Here is a 20,356-nt window from a genome sequence, read left to right as displayed (position 1 = left end):
TGCCCCCTCTGCTCACCTCCACTTGCCTGCATATATTTCTATTTGTCTTTCCTTTTCAGCAGTTTTAATAAGATTTACCTAAATGTGTGTGGGGGGATCAGTGGGTGTAATTCTGCTGTTCTGTGTTCTCTGAGATGCATGGATTCACGGTTTACTCTGTCTCCATTTTGGGGAACACAATTAGAAAAAATGTCAGTATGAGCCCAGAAACAAGCCTCCCTGAAGAGGGAACAGGACCACCTGGGGACGCTCAGGACCCACTGAGCACAAGAGCCAGCCTCAGGGCAGGTGCAGAGGGAGGTTAAGGTCTGGTTTCCTGTCAGCCCTGTGGCTTCCTCTCCATGAAACAGTTTCCTCCATGAAACAGTTTCAGAATATGTGCCATGGGGTGATGAGAAGAATGTATATTCTGTTGCTTTTTGGTGGAGAGTTCTGTAAACATCTATCAGGTCCATTTGATCCAGTGCTGAGTTAAGGTCCTGAATATCTTTGCTAATTTTCTGCCTAAGTGATGTGTCTAATACTGTCAGTAGGGTGTTGAAGTCTCTCATTATTATTGTGTGTGAGTCTAAGTCTCTTTGTAGGTTTCTAAGAATTTGTTTGAACAGGGTGCTCCTGTGTTAAGTGCGCGTATATTTAGGATAGTTAGCACTACTTGTTGAATTGAACCCTTTGCCATTATGTCATTACCCTTTTTTGTCTTTTTTTATCTTTGTTGGTTTAAAGTCTGTTTTGTCTGAAATTAGGATTACAATCTCTGTATTTTTTATGTTTTCTATTTACTTAGTAGATTTTCCTCCATCCCTTTATTTTGAGGCTATGGGTGTCATTGCATATGAGCCTATGGGTGTCATTGCATGTGAGCCTATGTGTGTCATTGCATGTGAGCCTATGCGTGTCATTGCATGTGAGCCTATGCGTGTCACTGCATGTCTCTTGAGACAGCATACCATTGGGTCTTGCTTTTTTATCCAGCTTATCACTCTGTGCCTTTTAATTGGGGCATTTACCCCTTTTACATTCAAAGTTAGTATTGATATGTGTAGATTTGATCCTGTCATCATGCTGTTAGTTGGTTACCATACATACTTGTTTGTGTGGCTGCTTTCTAGTGTCATTGGTCTATGTACTTCAGTGTATTTTTGAAGTGGTTGGTAATGATATTTCCTTTTCTTATTTAGTGCTTCCTTCAGGAGCTCTTGTAAGGCAGGTCAGTCTGGTAGTAACAAATTCCCTCAGCATTTGCTTGTCTGAAAAGGATCTTATTTCTCCTTCACTTATGAAGCATAGTTTGGCTAGATGTAAGATTCTAGTTTGGAATTTCTTTTCTTTAAGAATCTTGAATATTGGCCCCCAACCTCTTCTGGTTTGTAGAGTTTTTGTTGAGAGGTCTGCTTAGTCTTATGGGCTTCCCTTTGTAGGTGACCTGACCTTTCTCTCTGGCTGCCTTTTGCATTTTTTTCTTTCATTTCAACCTTGGAAAATCTGATAATTATGTGTCCTGGAGGTGATCTTCCTGTGAAGTACCTTAAATGGGTTTTTGTATTTTCTGAATTTGAATGTTAGCCTCTCTAGCTAGGTTGAGGAAGTTCTCATGAATGATATCCTGGAATATGTTTTCCAAGTTGCTGCCATTCTCCCCATCTCCTTCAGGGACACCAGTGAATCATAGATTTGTTCTCTTTACATAAACATATTTATCAGAGGTTTTGTTTCTTCCTTTTCATTCTTTTTTCTCTATTCTTGTCTGCCTGTCTTGTTTCAGAATGCCAGTCTTAAAGCACTAATATCATTTCTTCTGCTTGGTCTATTCTGCTGTTAATAGTTGTGATTGCATCATGAAATTTTTGCAGTGTGTTTTTCAGTTCTATCAGGTCAGTTATGTTCTTTTCTATACTGTCTATTTTGTCTGTCAGCTCCTGCATTGTTTTATTGTGATTCTTAGCTTCCTTGGATTGGGTTTCAACATACTCCTGTACCTTGTTGCTCTTCATTTCTATCCATACTCCAAATTCTATTTGTGTCACTTCAGCCAACCCAGTTCAGTTAAAAACTTTTGGTGGAGAGCTGGTGGAGGCATTCGGAGGAAAGACAGCATGCTGGCTTTTTGACTTGTCAGAGTTCTTGCACTGTTTTTTTCTCATTTTTGTGGGCTAGTGTTTTTTCAATCTTTGAAGCTCTTGTCCTTTGGATTTTTTTTTATCTTATTAGATGACTTTGAGAGTTTGATTGTGTTATAAAGTGGGTTCAGTCAACTGGCTTTATTTCTGGAAGATTTTGGGGACCAAGGTTCAGCTGTCATCTCCCCAGCTGCATGTTTTAATTCTGGGGGACTTATATCCTACCCTACTTTGTTCTCTGACTTCTCAAGATTATGAACAGACTGTGATGGGGGTGCTAAGGTGCTCCTGGACTGCTGGTCACTACACGTTGATGGAATGGTGCTAGTCAAAGGGTTTTGTAGTGTGGTGGCAGTAGGGGGGGGGGGTCTGTCCTCATTCACAGGTGCCCTCAGCAGCACCAGAACCAGCAGTATTAAATCAGGATGCATGCTTGTCAGCTGCAGCAGACTGCTAGCAGGTGCTGAGATGCCTGCCTCCATGAAGGCATTGACAGCAGGGGTAGAGTCAGCATAACTTGGGGGGTCAGCAGGCCCCCATTGGTGACTGTGTGCATTGGTGCACTGATGGTGGTGTTAGTATGGGGGCAGGACACTGGTGGGTTCAGGTGTGTGTGCACCCTCTGTGGCTACTCAGGGCAGGGGAGGGTTCATTGTTTTCAGTGCCTAGTTTCATTCTGGTGGCAGTGTTGGCACAGGGGCAGGTCACTGACAGAGGCAGGACTGGTGGGCTCTGTGCCCACTACAGCTCTGACTGCAATGGTAGTATGGCCGAGGAAGGGGAGCAGAGTGCACTCCTGCTGGCAGCAGAGGCAGGGCAGCGTACACGTGCTCACACAAGCTGGTGGTGAAGGGAAGGGAAAATCCACCTGCACACATACAAGCCAGCCAAATGATGTCAGGGGGCAGGGGTGGTTGGCCATGGGCTTGGAAGAAGCTGCAGCAGAGGGAGGGAGCAGGCAGGTTGGTGCATGGCCCTAGGGGCCACCCCGCTGGAGCTCTCCACCAATTAGATATGGTCTGCCATTGCAGAAGCTAAGATGCGGGTCCCCAGGGAACCTGAGTCTGTACTGCAAGCAGAAAAAAACCAGGCTGGAGCACTGGGAGAGGTCAGCAGACCAGGGGGTACTAAGGTTGGATCTGCCCCATCTGATGGGAAGACTGCCCTGCAGAATTCATATCTGACAGTTCCCCTAGGGCTAAAGTCTCCTATGGAGGCAAGTCAAGTCTGGAGAGATGGGTATCCCTGGCCGTGCTCTGCTATAGATGTTCCTGCAACAAACCCTCTGGGCTCCATATCGGCTACCATGCTGCTCCTACCACTCCTCTAAGCACTTCCCCTGCCAACTCTGTGTCTGTAGTGGTTGAGGGGTCTCCTCCCGGTGGGATTCCAGAGGCTTGTGGCAAGAGTAGGTTGCTTCTTGCCAGTTCAACTCACCCATTCCCCCAAAGTTCTTGGGGGTGAGGAACGAGTCCCATTGCACGGTAGCCCCACCCAGCTTCTGCCCAGCTTTTGTGTCTTGAGGACCTGTTAGGACTGTGCCAGTCATCCCAGTCCCACAGTGACAGCTGTTCTATCTGTCTGCAACTAGTCAGACATCTTGACCAAATTGGAAGTTTCTTACAAAGCTGAGCATAGCCTTACCATATGATCACACTCCCAGGCACTTACCCAACTGATTTGAAACATGTGTACACAAAAACCCAGTCATGAATGTTTACAGCAACTTCATTCCCTAACAGCCAAAAATTGGAGACAATCACAATGTTCTTCAACGAGTGTATGAATAAACAAACTGTGCTATATTTACAATAGAATGTTATTCAGCAATAAAAAGGTCATTAACTACCAAGCCATAAAAAAGCATGAATGAATCTTAAATGCATAATGCTAGCTGAAAGAAGCCAGTTTTGAAAGGTTATATACTGTATGACTCCAATTGTATGACATTCTAGAAAAATTAAAACTATAGAGACAGTAAAAGACTGGTGGTTACCAAGAGTACAAGGAGAAGAAAGAAGAGTGGAATAATTTAAGTTGAAGAACAATTTAGGGTGAAGAAATTATTCTTTCTAATGCTGTAGAAATGAATACATGATATTATAAATATGTCAAAAATTATAGAAAAAACTTAATTTGTGTAAGTTTTAACAACTATACTACAACAAATTGAATAACCTTGAAGAAATAGATAAATTTCTGGACACAATTTGTCAAAATTAAATTAAGAGGAAATAAAAAATCTTAACCGATCAATAAGGAATAAAATTGAATCAATAGTTTCAAAAATCTCACAGCAAAGAAAAGCCCAGGACCTAATGGATTCTGTTTTAAATTTTACCAAACATTTGAAAAAGAACTAATACCAATTTATTGAAATTGAATAGGCATACTCATTTTAGAAGGCCTGCATTACTCTGATACCTAAGCCACAGGTGGATACTAAAAGAAAAGTTCAATCCAGTGTCTCTGATGAACATAAATGCCAGAATACTAACACATTAAATCTGGCAGCACATTAAAAGGATAATTCATGGTTAGCAAGCACAGTGATATTTGAACATATGCAAATCAATAAATGTGATATACCACATTGGCAGAATGAAAGGCAAAAACCATATGGTTACCTCAATAGATGCAGAAAAGGCATTGACAAAATTCAACATCCTTCATCATAAAAACTATGCTTAGAAGGAACCTACCACAGTGATAAATGCCACATATTACAATCGCACAGCTAACATCATATTCAATGGTGAAAAATTGAAAGCTTTCCTTCTAAGATCAGAAAGAAAATAAGGATGCCCACTCTCACCGAGTCTACTCAATATATTACTGAAAGTACTAGCTAGAGTAAGTAGGTAAGAAATAAAAGGCAACCAAATTGCAAAAGAAGAAGTAAAATTGTCTGTTTGCAGATGACGTGATCTTATATCGAGAAAATCCTAAAGATGTCCTCAAAAAAACCTTCTAGAATAAGTGAGTTCATAAAGCTGCAGATTAAAAAATGAACATACAAAAACTAGTGGTATCTCTGAACAGTAACAATGAATTATCTGAAAAGGAAGTCAAGAAAACAATCCCATTTATAACTATAAAAAATTAAAACAAAATACTTAGGAATAAATTCAACCAGGAGGTTTAATCTCTGTACACTGAAAACTATAATACATTGATGAAATAAATGGAAAAAGAGAATTAAAAGTAAATATACCTATGTACATTAATTTTAAAAAATTAATATTGTTAAAATATCTAAAATAATTAAATTACCTACAGATTCTATCAAGTCCCTATTAAAATTCCGATGGCATTCATCATAGAAATGGAAAAAACAAAACCAAATTTGTATGTACTTGTACAAGACTCTAAATAGCCAAAGTAATTTTGAGAAAAAGGAACAAAGCTGGAAGCATCACACTCACTGCTTCAAACTCTACTACAAAGCCATATTAATTAAAACAGTATGGTACTATAAAAACATGACACATAACAATGGAACACAGTAGGGAGCCCAAAAATAAATTCACACATATATGGCCAACTAAGATTTGACAAGGGTGCCAATAATACACAATGGGAAAAGAAAAGTCTATTTAATAAATGCTGTTGTAAAAGCTAAATATCCACATGCAAAAGAAAGAAACTGAAGTCTTGTCTTATGACATATACTAAAACTAACTGGAAATGAATTAAAGATTTAAATGTAAAACCTGAAACTGTAAAACTACCAGAAGAAAACATAAGGAAAAAACACCTTGACAACAGTCTTGGCAATCATTTTTTGGATATGACCACAAAAGCACAGGCAACAAAAAATAAACAAGTGGGACTATATCAACTAAAAATTCCACTGCGCCACAAAAGAAACAATTGACCAAATTAAAAGGTAACCTATCGAATGGGAGAAAATATTAGTAAACCATATGTATGATAAGGGGTTAATACTCATAATATATTAGGAAGTACGCAAGTCAACAGTAAAACAACAAACAACCTGATTTTTACAATTGGCAAAGATTTTAACAGACATATTCCCAAAACAGACATAGAAATAGCCAACATGTATATGAAAAGGTGCTCAACATCATCAACCATTGGGAAAATGAAATTAAAACCGCAATGAAACATCACCTCATACCTACTGTAATGGCCATTATGAGAAGACACATGATAACAAGTGTTGGTAAGGATGTGGAGAAAAGGGAACCCTTTCACAGTATTGATGGGAATGTAAATTGGCACAGGCATTATGGAAAACAATATAGATGTTCTTCAAAAAATAAAAAATAAAACTTCCATATGTTCCAGCAATCTCACTTCTAGATATATACCCAAAGGAAATGAAATAAGTATCTCTAAAAGATAACTATACTGCTATGTTCACTGCAGCATCATTCACTATAGCCAAAATATGGAAACAACCCAAGTGTACATCAATTGATGAATGAGTATAAAAATTGTGGTACATATATGTGATAGATTATCATCCAGCCAAAGAAAGAAGGAAGTTTTGCCCTTTGCAGCAACATAGATAAACCTAATAGACATTACGGTAGGTGAAATAAGCCAGACACAGAAAGACAGACACTATATGATCTCACTTACATGTAGAATCTGAAAAAAAAAAAAAAAAGCTCATTGAAGGAGAGAGTAGAACAGTGGTTGTCAGAGGGTTTTGAAGTCAGAGAAAAGGGGAATATGTTGGTCAAATGGTACAAACTTTCAGCCCTAAGATAAACACATTCTTGGTAACTAATGTACAACATGGATGGTGATTAATGTGTTAATTTGATTGTGGTAATCATTATACAATGTATATGTATATCAAATTATCATTTCATATACCTTGAATATATTTGATCTTTATGTGTCAATTAAATATTTATAAATTTAAAAATCTACAAAAGAAACAAATCATTTCAATTCTATACAATAAAAAAGAACTATCTAAAAGGGAAATTAAGAAATTAATCTCATTTCCATTAGAACCAAAAAATAAAATATTTAGGAGTAAACTTAAACAAAGAGGTGAAAGACTTGTACACTTAAACTGTAAAACATTGATGAAAGAAATTAAAGCAGATGGAAATAAACGGAAAGACTTTCTGTGTTAATGGAATAGAACAATTAATATTGTTAAAATATCCACACTACCTGAAGCAATCTATAGATTCAATACAATCTCTGTGAAAATCCCAACATCATTTTTTAAAGAAATTTTTAAAAATCCTAAAATTCATGTGGAGACACAAAGACTCATGAAGTGACATGGACAGGGGAAAAGGTGGCAAGAAGGTTTTATTTAGGAGGGAATAAATGCGGTTACACGCTAAAGGTTACACCCAATAGGGAGGACAAAGTTCATGTTATAGGTGAGAGAAAGGAGAGTTACCAGAGTAATTGCCTTTAGTAGAGAGGACGGGATGGAATCTGGTGCACAGGTGGAAGGGTTTACTTCTGTAGGAGCAGGATCAGGTCACCCAGTTTCAGGAGAAGTTAAAGGAAACTTAATCACAGATGCAGGTTGTATAGTGGTAGTGATGGGAGATTAAGGAATTCTCACCTGTTACCTTTCTCAGTAAAACAGGAAGCAACACAATAAACAGAGTGATAATAGAGAAGGATTATTTGAAGATTCAGACCACTTTTTCTATAGTCTGAATATTTTTACCATGTACAAAATTTATATTCCTAAGTATAAACTTTGGTTTTTATCAAAAATAAAATATTTTAAAACTCAATTTTTGACCCCCTTGCATTTGGGGTTCCAGATGTTTTGGATGCTGCCCATTTAATGCACTCATTTGAGATTTGAATATGTAGTAAGCTAGTTAAAGGGAGGCAGTAGGATAGGCTTCTGTTATACTAGGGGCGATTTGTTAGGTCCAAAGTGATTCCGGATCATCAACTTGATCCCAGGCACATGGCTAAAATTGTAGTGTTTTTCAGACAACAGATGGCTAAGATTGTAGCAAGAACAACTTCCCTGACAACATAGGTCACCTGTGTTAGTCTGTAAGTCATCTCTGGGTGTCCAGCCTATAGTCTGCTCTTCTAGACTTGGCAGTGATTTTGTGAACACCTCTCTTGATATTAAATGATGTTTTGTTTAAAATAGCTGGAATGGTTTCTTCTCTCTGACACAAAATCCTGATTGGTCTATGAAAAGACTGTCATTATTAAACTTACAGTGAAATCAATTGGCAATAAGGTCAAACATACAGCTAAAAGTCATAAAAATTTGCTAGGATTAATAATGAAGCTCCAGAAAAAAAAAGTAAAATTTTTTTTGATCTTTTTCAGTAAAAGTAACCAGCTTTCTTTTGCCACTCTCTGCTTATGTATGTAAGAAAAATTGGTAGTTTAATATCTTTCAAAGTGCACTTACAAATATAATATTTTCCTCTTAATGATATTTTTCAACTCTTTGATATCTGCATAGAATCTTGAGTTTACAGCCCTAAGTCATTTATGACCCTTCAGTAGAGGAATCACTCTTTTGCTTAAAGCCACAGAATGGCTTCTTATTGTAATTGTAATAAAATGAAAACTCACATTTACTATGTAGACCATATGTTTTTGACACTACCAGTATCTCTAACTTTAAGTTTAATCATTTTCACATTAAATTACTATATTCTTGGTAACATGGACTTTATTGTATTCTTCAAATATACCAAGTTCATCATCATCTTTGAGTTTTTGCACTGCCTGTGCCCTCTGTCTACCATACTATAGCCACAAATGTTTGCATGTTTGGCTTCTTCAGTTTATCCAGATATGATCCAAAATGTCAGCTCTTCAAGGCCTTTTTTTATTATTAAACACAAATTGGTTACTCCCAATCCAGAGTCACAGTTTATCATTTCACTTTTCGTTTTAGTTTTTACAGAGCAGTATCTCTTCCTGAAACTATGCTGTTTATTTTCTACCTTAACGGCGGTCTATTTTTACTAGGTTGTATCTCTTGGAGAGCAGATAGACCTTATCTGCCTCAATACTTTCTTTCTTCAGTTCCTAGAATAGTCCTGACAAATGGGAGGTATTCAATGATTGCAGTACTTGGAAATAAACAAATCAATTTCAGATAAAATTCTACAGTCTATTTTTATTCTTTTTTTTTTTTTTGCCCTTTTTCAGGCTATGTGTTTATTAAACACCTTTTTCATGGAAGCTTTCACTTCCTGGTTATGAAGGGTATAAATGACAGGATTCAACAAAGGAAGAATCACTGTGTGGAAGAGAGAAACCACCTTGTCGGCTGGGAAAGCCCTGAAGGGGCACGTGTAGATGAAGATGCCAGGTCCAAACATGAAGAATATAACAATGATATGGGTGGTGCATGTGGACATGGCCTTGTTTTTTGCCTCAGAAGAAGACGCTCGTATGCGACAAAGAATGACTGCATAGGAGGCCAGAAGTCCCAGAAAGCACATGAGTGTCATCAGGCCACTATTGAAGACCATCAGAAGCTCCACCACAAACATGTCGGTGCAAGCCAGCTTGATGACCTGTCGGACATCACAGAAGAAGTTGTCCAGCTGGTTTGGGCCACAAAAAGGCAAGCGGATGATGAGGACCACCTGGATAATGGAGTGGACAAAACCCCCAAGCCACAGAGCCAACATCATTGCATAGCAGGCTCTAGAGTTCATGACAGTTGAATACTGCAGAGGCAGGCAGATGGTGATGTAGCAGTCAAAGGCCATCACAACAAGGAGTAATCCCTCCCCTCCTCCAAGGAAGTGCAAGAAAAAGAGCTGAGTGATGCAGCCTCTGTAGGAGATTACCTTCTTCTCAGAGAGGAAGTCCACCAACATCCTGGGAGCCACAATGAAGGAGTAGGATGCATCCAGGAAGGCCAAGTTGCCCAGAAATAAATAGAGGGGGGCTGTGAGCCCAGGGTCTGACCTTATGGTGAAAATAATGAGAAAATTTCCAGGGAGGATGAAGAAGTAGAATATTAAAACTAGCACAAAGACCAGGAGCTAAATATCTCGAAACTGGGTCAAACGAAGGAGGATGAATTCTCTTATCACTGTTCTGTTCTCGCTTTCCATTTCCCTGGCCTGCAGTACATTAAGAAGCAGAATTAATTGTTATTGCTATGTCTTCCAACTAGATACTAGTTCTACAGCTAAAAAATATTTGGCACATATAGTACTTCAGCTAAAAACAACACTTCCCATCCCTCTCCTATTCTGGGGAAACTCTGTTACCTTAATTTCTCCAAATTTAAAATGAAAAATGAAAACAAAATATGGTTCTCAAAGCTACAGTTTTATTCCCATTCAACCATGTGCTTCTACAGAATCATTTTCCATGTTAGGAGTCTGGTATCCTCCACGTTGGGATTCCTACATTCCTAAATCATGTAAGTTTCCTAATGGAGACACAACCTAACTTCAAATCTGAAGGTCTTTGAGTTTTTTGGATATACTATGCTTGAGGGTTAGTTCTTTTCTTGGGATTAGACCCTTTTTCTCCTTGTCCACACCACCCCCAAATTTTCCTAGACAGTTTCTTCCCTCAATTCCTGTGTAATTCCCAGTTCCTAGCTGGTAACTCTCTTCCTTGCCCTCTGTCTTATCATCTAATTTACTTCTTACTATACTCCTTTTGGTCTGATATCCTTGAATACTCTTTTCCCAGACTGTTCACGAGAATCCCAAGCTATAGCTCCACTTTTGACCTAACACAGGCACAGTGCTCCAGCTGTAACTCTGTTTGAACACCACTCCTGTGGCCACTCCACACCTGCATGCAGCTTATTTAGCACTTTTTGAGTTTCAAATACTAATAAACTCACAACACATTTCTTTCTCTGTTCCAAGTATGACACCCAAGATACAGCCCTTTAACAAAAAATATGCTACAATATAAAATTTGCAAGTATAAAACTTTAAAATATCATTATCTCAACTCATAAGATCATAGCATAGATACACTGTAAGTAGCCATAAAGATACTGTAGTGTTATTCTTCCATTTCAAAGATGAGAAATAACCTGTAGTTATATTACTTAAGTTTAGAGTGAGTTTTATTTTTTGCTCTGCTTGATAAGTAGTAGGATAATGCAAGTGTATACTATTCAGTTTAAATAGATAAAGAATTTTTTAATCACAGCTTCAATGAATGAATGTTCTTTTTGTGCATCTGAATAACTAAAGATAATATTGCTAGTCTAAAATCACTCCCGTATTGCTTTGATTTGTAAGTTCAACCTTGTTTAAATAAAAAGAAAAACAATGTCCATTGTGAAGAAAATTCATATTTAAAATTCAGATTGTTTTCATGGGGTATACTCATTCCAGAAGGTGCACATGATAATCCACTGAAGTATAGAAAGAACATAGTAATTTATCTATATTTAGTCAGTGTATAACATTTTATATGTATCACTACATTTCATTCTTTTCTAAATTCACTTTTTAATATTTATAATGGATAACATAGTACAATGGTTTATATATACTTTATAAATAAATATGCATACATTTAAGGTTATATATTCAAAAAATGTCTTAGGGGAGTAAATTTTTTAAGTTTGAAAATTGTTGGCCTACAACAAAATACAAACTGTAATATAAAAGGATATTCTTAATATGATTTAACTAAACAGTGTATTTGTTTTAAATAAGTGCTCTAGCGGCCGGGCGTGGTGGCTTATGCCTGTAATCCCAGCACTTTGGGAGGCCAAGGCGGGTGGATCACGAGGTCAGGAGATCGAGACCATCTTGGCTAACATGGTGAAACCCCGTCTCTACTAAAAAAATACAAACAAATTAGCCGTAGTGGTGGTGGTTGCCTGTAGTCCCAGCTACTCAGGAGGCTGAGGCAGGAGAATGGTGTGAACCCGGGAGGCAGAGCTTTCAGTGAGCCGAGATCATGCCACTGCACTCCAGCCTGGGTGACAGAGCGAGACTCTGTCTCAAAATAAATAAATAAATAAATAAATAAATAAATAAATAAGTGCTCTAGCACATGGGGTACGGAAGGAAGGGAAAATCTTTGACAGAAAATGCTACTGCAACAGTACCTAGAAAAGAAAGACAAGAAGATAGAGGATGAGGGAAGAAAGAAGAGAGAAATAGAAAATCAGGCAAACAAACACCAAACAAGCAAACAAACAAGCAAACAAACACCAAAAGACAGACAGCACATCTATATAGTGTCATCTTAGGGTACATATTTTAAGAAGCATTAAAACTATCTGCTTTATGTATCCCTAGAGTGGAATAGAGTGGTTAATACAGAAATTTCTGGGTGTTACTGGCAGCCACATGTGGAATTTATGAAAGTCATATTTTAACACATCATCATATATACATATGCAAATACCACATGAACACACACGTATGCACACACATACAAACACATGCAAAATTGTAATAGGAAAAAATATTTTGTAGATCCTTCAAATGAGCTTTTCTGCTCATGTCTTAACCTTTTCCCCCTTTGCCAGCCATTTGTCTCAACATTTATTCTACTATCTGCCTATATAAATATTTCCTTAAATCAAGAGCCCCTTCTACAGTTGACAATTGAACAATGCAGGAGTTAAGGGGGCAGATCCCCTGTGCAATAAAAAATTAGCACATACCCTGACTCCCTAAAAACTTAGCTTCTAACGATTACTGTTGATCAGAAGCTTTGCTGGTAACATAAACAGTTGAATAACAAATATTTTTGTTTTATGTATTATATACTATATTCCTACAATAAATTAAGCTACAGAAAATAAAATATAACAAAATCATAAGGAAAGGAAGATATAAATACTGTTCATTAAGTGGAAGCAAATCATCATAAAGTTCTTATCGTTGTCGTCTTCCCACTGAGTAGGCTGAGGAGAAGGAAAAGGAAGGGTTCGTTTTGCTGTCTCAGGGGTGGCAGAGGTGGAAGAAAATCCACATATAAGTGGACACGTGTGGTTCAAACCCATGTTTTTCTGGAGTCAACTGTACTTACTTATATGTTTTATGCATCCCACATGCTAACATAGAGTGAGGTATTTCTTGATGTGTTAGCATTTAACAATATCCCTGAGACATTTGAGGATTTCTGAAGGACTTTGAAATTGAAGGTTATAAGCTCTTCCATTCTGCCTGTGTCCCAGCCTCACTGTTATTTTTCCACTGTTTCTTAACAGATGGGATTCTGTACTACTTGACATCTTGATCAACTTTCTTCCCTGTCCCACTTCCATCTTTGAATTATCTCTACCTTCTCTAAATTGTGGTTGGAATAGACGCGGAGACTAATCAGATGAGCATTCCTCTAAGCAAAATAAAATAAGTTTCTACCAAAAAAAAAAAATCCATAAATGATGACGTCATCAGAGTAAAGTGTTCTATTTTAGCCAAATTAGTAGAGAAAGTTCTGTCAAAACTCTGTACCATACCTTCCTCACTGTATCTCTAATCGTTCTTGCCACTTCAGCTAATTCGTGGATTGATCAGTTTCTGGCCATGATGACACACTGCAGAAATAGGGAAGATGAAGGAGAAGGGTTCACCACATTTGCAAGGTGGAGACACAGAAACATCTCCAGGCAACTCTGTGTGTGCATGCCTGGAGTCTGAGTGTGGTCAGATGGGCTGCTGGAGCCAAGTGTTTAGAGATCTTATGTGCTTACTCCGCCTCCTTCCTTATTTTTCTTTTTCTCTCTTTCTTTATTCATCAATAAGCAGTTCATTTTCTTTTTTTTTCTGGTTGTGATTTCTTTTCCCTGTTAATTTGTTGCCTGTTCTTTTCCCCTTCTCTGTTTCTTTCTGGCTCTATTTATTTTGTTCTCTTTAAATATTGTTCTTTATTTTTTTTTCTTTCTTCTCCCTTACATTTATCTATGTTTTTTCACTCTGATATGTTTTCACTCTCTCCACTTTTTGTCTATGTTCATGGCTACTCCATTCTACCCACACCTGTCTTGCTAATGCATCTAAAAACAAAACGAAACAAGAAACAGAAAATCTCGTTGTCATTTGCTTTTCCAACAAGACTGAGAAATGTGTGTGCTTCCCACCATCTTCCATTTTAAATGTTAAGTCTACAAAATGAAAATATATAATTCACTCTTCAGTAATAACCATTTACTTTTAAGTGGTATTCTTGCAATTGGCCAACGCTGAGTCATTTATCAACTACTTCATATATATGTAGTGAACCTGATAAAAATGAGATGATTCACCTTTTTTTTAAAAAAAAGTTAATTTCATTAGTAGCATCCTAATGAAATAAATATATTGAATGTAAATTTCAAAAATAGAGATGTAATATTAGTAGTAATAATTTACTAACTACACAAGGTTAGTAAATTATTTGAGTATGAAATAAGTTTTATATTTTCTAAAAAGTGTGAATCAGGCTGAGAACATAATAGAAAATTTAATTTATACTGATGCTGATGCTGAGTATATAAAGCACTAAACAAATGTGTAGATTCTTAGCCAGAAAATTTATTCATCAATCAAATGAGATGGCCAGATTAAATGCCCTCTAAATTCCATTTGAATGCCAGTTTTTTAGGCAATGTAATAACATAAAAGGATCCCTGGTTTGGGAATCATTTATCTGACTCTCATGCCTTGACTGAGCAATTAACTTACTGTGTGATTCTGGCAAAGTCACTTAGCTTTCAGAAGCCTGAGTTTTCATCTACCAAATAGTTTAATGTATTGACTCTTTGGGTCTGATGGGGGTAACATGAGGATCAAATGAGGTGATGATGGTATTAATATGTAATTCATTCAAGTATGCTTCAACCAAAGTTAATCCTGAAAATATTTAGATGTTAAAAGTAGTTATATTGAATGGACAGAATGCTGCTAGATCTTTTGTCAATGTCTTTGAGTAACCCCTGGGATAATGGTAGTTGCATAAATCTGAATGGTTAATAGAAAGAAGCTGTGGAGGGTCAGTAATGCCTTCATGTAAAATTGCCAATACAGCTAGTAGTTTGTATATCAAGCTTTTTTTCAGTTCTACAGCTTTCTGTCAAAATTCTATGAATGAATGATAGAACCATATGTAACAGAAGAAACTTTCATACCTGCTGAATGTGAAAATGAAGAGGTCAAGGACTTACCTTCCGCAAAATCATAAAATCTGTTAAGTTTTTCTCTGGAGCTTTTAGCCAACCATTTCTGCATCCTCCTCCCCTTTCTTCCATATTTAATAAGGAAAATGATACATATCAGTCATTTGTATGATTTTTTGTTTTTTAACACCAGATGTCAATTCTCTTGAGTCTATGGAAAATTATAATAGAATTAAAGGTTTAGTTCACCAGTAAAGTAATCCCAAGCATTAAATGCAGATGGAGATCTATTAGGAGAGAGAATACACAGTGCCCCACTGCTGAATTTAGACCTTAGCCTGTGGCTATTCCTGCTAATACTCTGACCTGTCTATTCAACTGCAATCTAAGATATCAGGTGAACAAGTAAAATAGTTGCAATATTTTTTCTATTGTCTCTTTCTTCTTGTTTCTTGTATATATATGAAGAGCTCCAGAAATTTAAGCCTTCAGGGATCTTATGTTACTCTCACAAAGTAGCCATCCTCCCTCTCCTAGTAAGACTAACCAATTTTGCCATTGTTCATAAATGTTCATTGCCACATGAGGAACCTTAGATTTTAAAATCTCTCTATTGTAATGGAGAAAGTGCTTTTGAGATTTGAGACTACCGTGACCCACTGAATGCTTCCAAAGGGAGTTATTAGGCAAACTATATTAGTTATCAACTAAATAAGGCAAAGAAAAATACCAGAGCTTTGCAAGAACTAATTTTTTTTAAATGTGCTACATAATGCCAAGCTGACTTCCTTTCTAGTTCTAAAACAAAAATTCTACTGTGAAAAAGACAGAACCCTATTCAGAAGCATACTTTTTAGTCCAGAAGTAAATAGAAGTTTGAGAGAAGTAAATTTACATGTTATAATAAAATTCAAAAGGAGAAAAATATTAAATAAATGATGAGAGATTATTGCTTTGTACCACAAAAGCAAGCAGGGGTAGGATGAGGCAAAAATTACATATATACATATATATATATATATATATATATATATATATATATATATATATATGACTAGACTCAAATTTTTCAATTAAAGGCTTCACCAAACTTTAGAGGGTGGCTGGCAAGATGGCCAGATAAGAGCAACTCCAGTCTGCAGCTCCCAGCAAGACCAACGCAGAAGGTGGGTGATTTCTGCATTTCCAACTGAGGTACCCGGCTCATCTCATTGGGACTGGTTAGACAGTGGGTTCAGCCTACGGAGGATGAGCCAAAGCAGGGTGGGGCATCACCTCACCCGGGAAGTGGAAGGGTTCAGGGAACTCCCTCCCCGGCCAAGGGAAGCCATGAGAGACTGTGCCAAGAGGAATGGTGGATTCTGATCCACATACTAGGCTTTTCCCATGGTTTTTGCAACCTGCAGACCAGGAGATTCCCTTGGGTGCCTACACCACCAGGGCCCTGGGTTTCAAGCACAAAACTAGGCAGCCATTTGGGCAGACACTGAGGTAGAAGCAGGAGTTTTTTTCATACCCCAGTGGCACCCGGAATGCCAGCAAGATAGAACGATTCACTCCCCTGGAAATGGGGCTGAAGCCAGGGAGTCAAGTGGTCTATCTCAGTGGATCCCACCCCCATGGAGCCCAGCAAGCTAAGATCCACTGGCTTGAAATTCTTGCTGCCAGCACAGCACTCTGAAGTTGACCTGGGACACTCGAGCTTGGTTGGGGTAGGGGCATCCGCCATTACTGAGGCTTGAGTAGGCACTTTTCTCTTCACAGTGTAAATAAAACCACCAGGAAGTTTGAACTGGGCAGAGCCCACTGCAACCCAGCAAAGCAGCTATAGCCAGACTGCTTCTCTAGATTTCTCCTCTCTGGGCAGGGTATCTCTGAAAGAAAGGCAGCGTCCCCAGTCAGGGGCTTATAGATAAAAATCCCATCTCCCTGGGACAGAGCACCTGGGGGGAAGGGCGGCTGTGGGCACAGCTTCAGCAGACTTAAATGTTCCTGCCTGCCATCTCTGAAGGGAGCAGCAGATCTCCCAGCAAAGCGCTTGAACTCTGCTAAGGGACAGACTGCCTCCTCAAGTGGCTCCCTGATGCCTGTGCCTCCTGACTGGGAGACACCTCCTAGCAGGGGTTGACAGACACCTCATACGGGAGATCTCCAGCTGGCATCTGGCTGGTGCCCCTCTGGGACAAAGCTTCCAGAAGAAGGAACAGGCAGTAGTCTTTGCTGTTCTGCAGCATCTGCGATGACACCCAGGTAAACAGGGTCTGGAGTGGACCCGCAGCAAACTCCAGCAGACCTGCAGCAGAAGGGCCTGACTGTTAGAAGGAAAACTAACAAACAGAAAGAAATAGCATCAACATCAACAAAAAGGATGTCCACCCAAAAACACCAACTGAAGGTCACCAACATCAAAGAACAAAGTTAGATAGGTCCAAGAAGATGAGGAAAAACCAGAGCAAAAAGGCTGAAAATTCCAAAAACCAGAACACCTCTTCTCCTCCAAAGTATCACAACTCCTTGCCAGCAAGGGAGCAAAACTGGATGGAGAATGAGTTTGACAAGTTGACAGAAGTAGGCTTCCAAAGATGGGTAGTAACAAACTCCTCTGAGCTAAAGGAGCATGTTCTAACCCAAAACAAGGAAGCTAAGAACCTTGAAAAAGGTTAGAGGAATTGATAACTAAAATAACCACCTTAGAAAAGAACATAAATAACCTGATGGAGCTGAGAAACACAGCACGAGAACTTCATGAAGCATACACAAGTATCAATAGCCAAATCAATTGAGTGGATGAAAGGATACCAGGGATTGAAGATCAACTTAATGAAATAAAGCGTGAAGACAAGATTGGAGAAAAAAGATTGAAAAGGAATGAACAAATCCTCCAAGAAATATGGGACTATGTGAAAAGACCAAACCTACGTTTGATTGGTGTACCTGAAAGTGACGGGGAGAATGGAACCAAGTTGGAAAACACTCTTCAGGATATTATCCAGGAGAACTTTCCCAACCTAGCAAGACAGGCCAGCATTCAAATTCAGGAAATACAGAGAACACCACAAAGATACTCCTCGAGAAGAGCAACCCCAAGAAACATAATTGTCAGATTCACCAAGGTTGAAATGAAGGAAAAAATGTTAAGGTCAGCCAGGAAGAAAGGTCAAGTAGTTACCCACAAAGGGAAGTCCATCAGACTAACAGTGGATCTCTCTGCAGAAACCCTACAAGCCAGAAAGAAGTGGGGGCCAATATTCAACGTTCTTAAAGAAAAGAATTTTCAAACCAGAATTTAATATCCAGCCAAACAAAGTTTCATAGATGAAGGAGAAATAAAATCCTTTACAGATAAGAAAATACTAACAGATTTTTGTCACCACCAGGCCTGCCTTACAAGACCTCCAGAAGGAAGCACCAAATATGGAAAGAAAAACTGGTACCAGCCACTGCAAAAACATACCAAATTGTAAAGACTATTGAAGCTATGAAAAAACTGCATCAACTAACAGGCAAAATAACCAGATAACATCATAATGACAGGATCAAATTCACACATAACAATGTTAACCTTAAATGTAAATGGGTTAAGTCCCCAGTTAGAATACACAGACTGGTAAATTGGATAGAGACTCAAGACCCATTGGTGTGCTGTATTCAGGAGACCCATCTCACGTGCAAAGACACACATAGGCTCAAAATGAAGGGATGGAGGAAGATTTACCAAGCATATTGAAAGCCAAAAAAAAGCAGGGGTTGCAATCCTAGTCTCTGATAAAACAGACTTTAAACCAACAAAGATCAAAAAAGACAAAAAAGGGCATTACATAATGGTAAACGGATCAATGCAACAAGAAAAGCTAACTATCCCAAATATGTATGCACCTAATACAGGAGCACCCATATTCATAAAGCAAGTCCTTAGAGATATACAAAGAGACTTACATTCCCACACAATAATAGTGGGAGACTTTAACACCCCACTGTCAATATTAGACAGATCAAGAGACAGAAAATTAACAAGGACATTCAGGACTTGAACTCAGCTCTGGACCAAGCAGAACTAATAGACATCTACAAAACTCTCCACCCCAAATCAACAGAATATACATTCTTTTCAGCACCACATCACACTTATTATAAAATTGACCACATAATTGGAAGTAAAACACTCCTCAGCAAATGCAAAAGAACAGAAATCATAACAAATAGTCTCTCAGATCACAGTGCAATCAAATTAGAACTCAGGATTAAGAAACTCACTCAAAACTGCACAACTGCATGGAAACTGAACAACCTGCTCCTGAATGACTACTGGGTAAATAACGAAATTTAGGCAGAAATAAATAAGTTCTTTGAAACCAATGAGAACAAAGACACAATGTACGAGAATCTCTGGGACACAGCTAATGCAGTGTTTACAGGAAAATTTATAGCACTAAATGCCAACAGCTTAAAGCAGCAAAGATCTAAAATCAACACCCTAACATTACAATTAAAAGAACTAGAGAAGTAAGAGCAGACAAATTCAAAAGCTAGCAGAAGACAAGAAATAACTAAGATCAGAGCAGAACTGAAGGAGATAGAGACACAAAAAACCCTTCAAAAAATCAATGCATCCAGGAGCTGGTTTTTTGAAAACATTAACAAAATAAATAGACCACTAACCAGACTAATGAAGAAAAGAAAGAAGAATCAAATAGACACAATAGAAAATGATAAAGGGGTATCACCACTGATCCCATAGAAATACAAACTACCATCAGAGAATACTACAAACACCTCTACACAAATAAACTAGAAAATCTACAAGAAATGGATAAATTCCTGGGCACATACACCCTCCCAAGACTGAACCAGGAAGAAGTCAAATCCCTGAATAGACAAATAACAAGTTCTGAAATCGAGGCAGTAATTAATAGCCTACCAACCAAAAAAAAGTCCAGGACCAGACAGATTCACAGCCAAATTCTACCAGAGGTACAAAGAGGAGCTGGTACCATTCCTTCAGAAACTATTACAAACAATAGAAAAAGAGGGACTCCTCCCTAACTCATTTTATGAGGCCAGCATCATCCTGATACCAAAACCTGGCAGAGACACACATAAAAAAGAAAATTTCAGGCCAATATCCCTGATGAACATCAATGCAAAAATCCTCAATAAAATACTGGCAAACCGAATCCAGCAGCACATCAAAAAG

General features: G+C 38.1%; 1 pseudogene; it reads right to left on the bottom strand.

The window, feature by feature from the left end:
- Nucleotides 1-8,233: 8,233 nt before the first annotated feature.
- Nucleotides 8,234-20,356, bottom strand: part of LOC105379529 (olfactory receptor 4N2-like) — a 67,679-nt pseudogene continuing 55,556 nt past the window's right edge.

The sequence above is a fragment of the Homo sapiens genome, assembly GCF_000001405.40.
Source record: "Homo sapiens chromosome 15 unlocalized genomic scaffold, GRCh38.p14 Primary Assembly HSCHR15_RANDOM_CTG1".
NCBI lineage: Eukaryota > Metazoa > Chordata > Mammalia > Primates > Hominidae > Homo > Homo sapiens.
The sequence above is the reverse complement of the archived record's forward strand: the minus strand, read 5'-3'. Positions and strand labels throughout refer to the sequence as shown.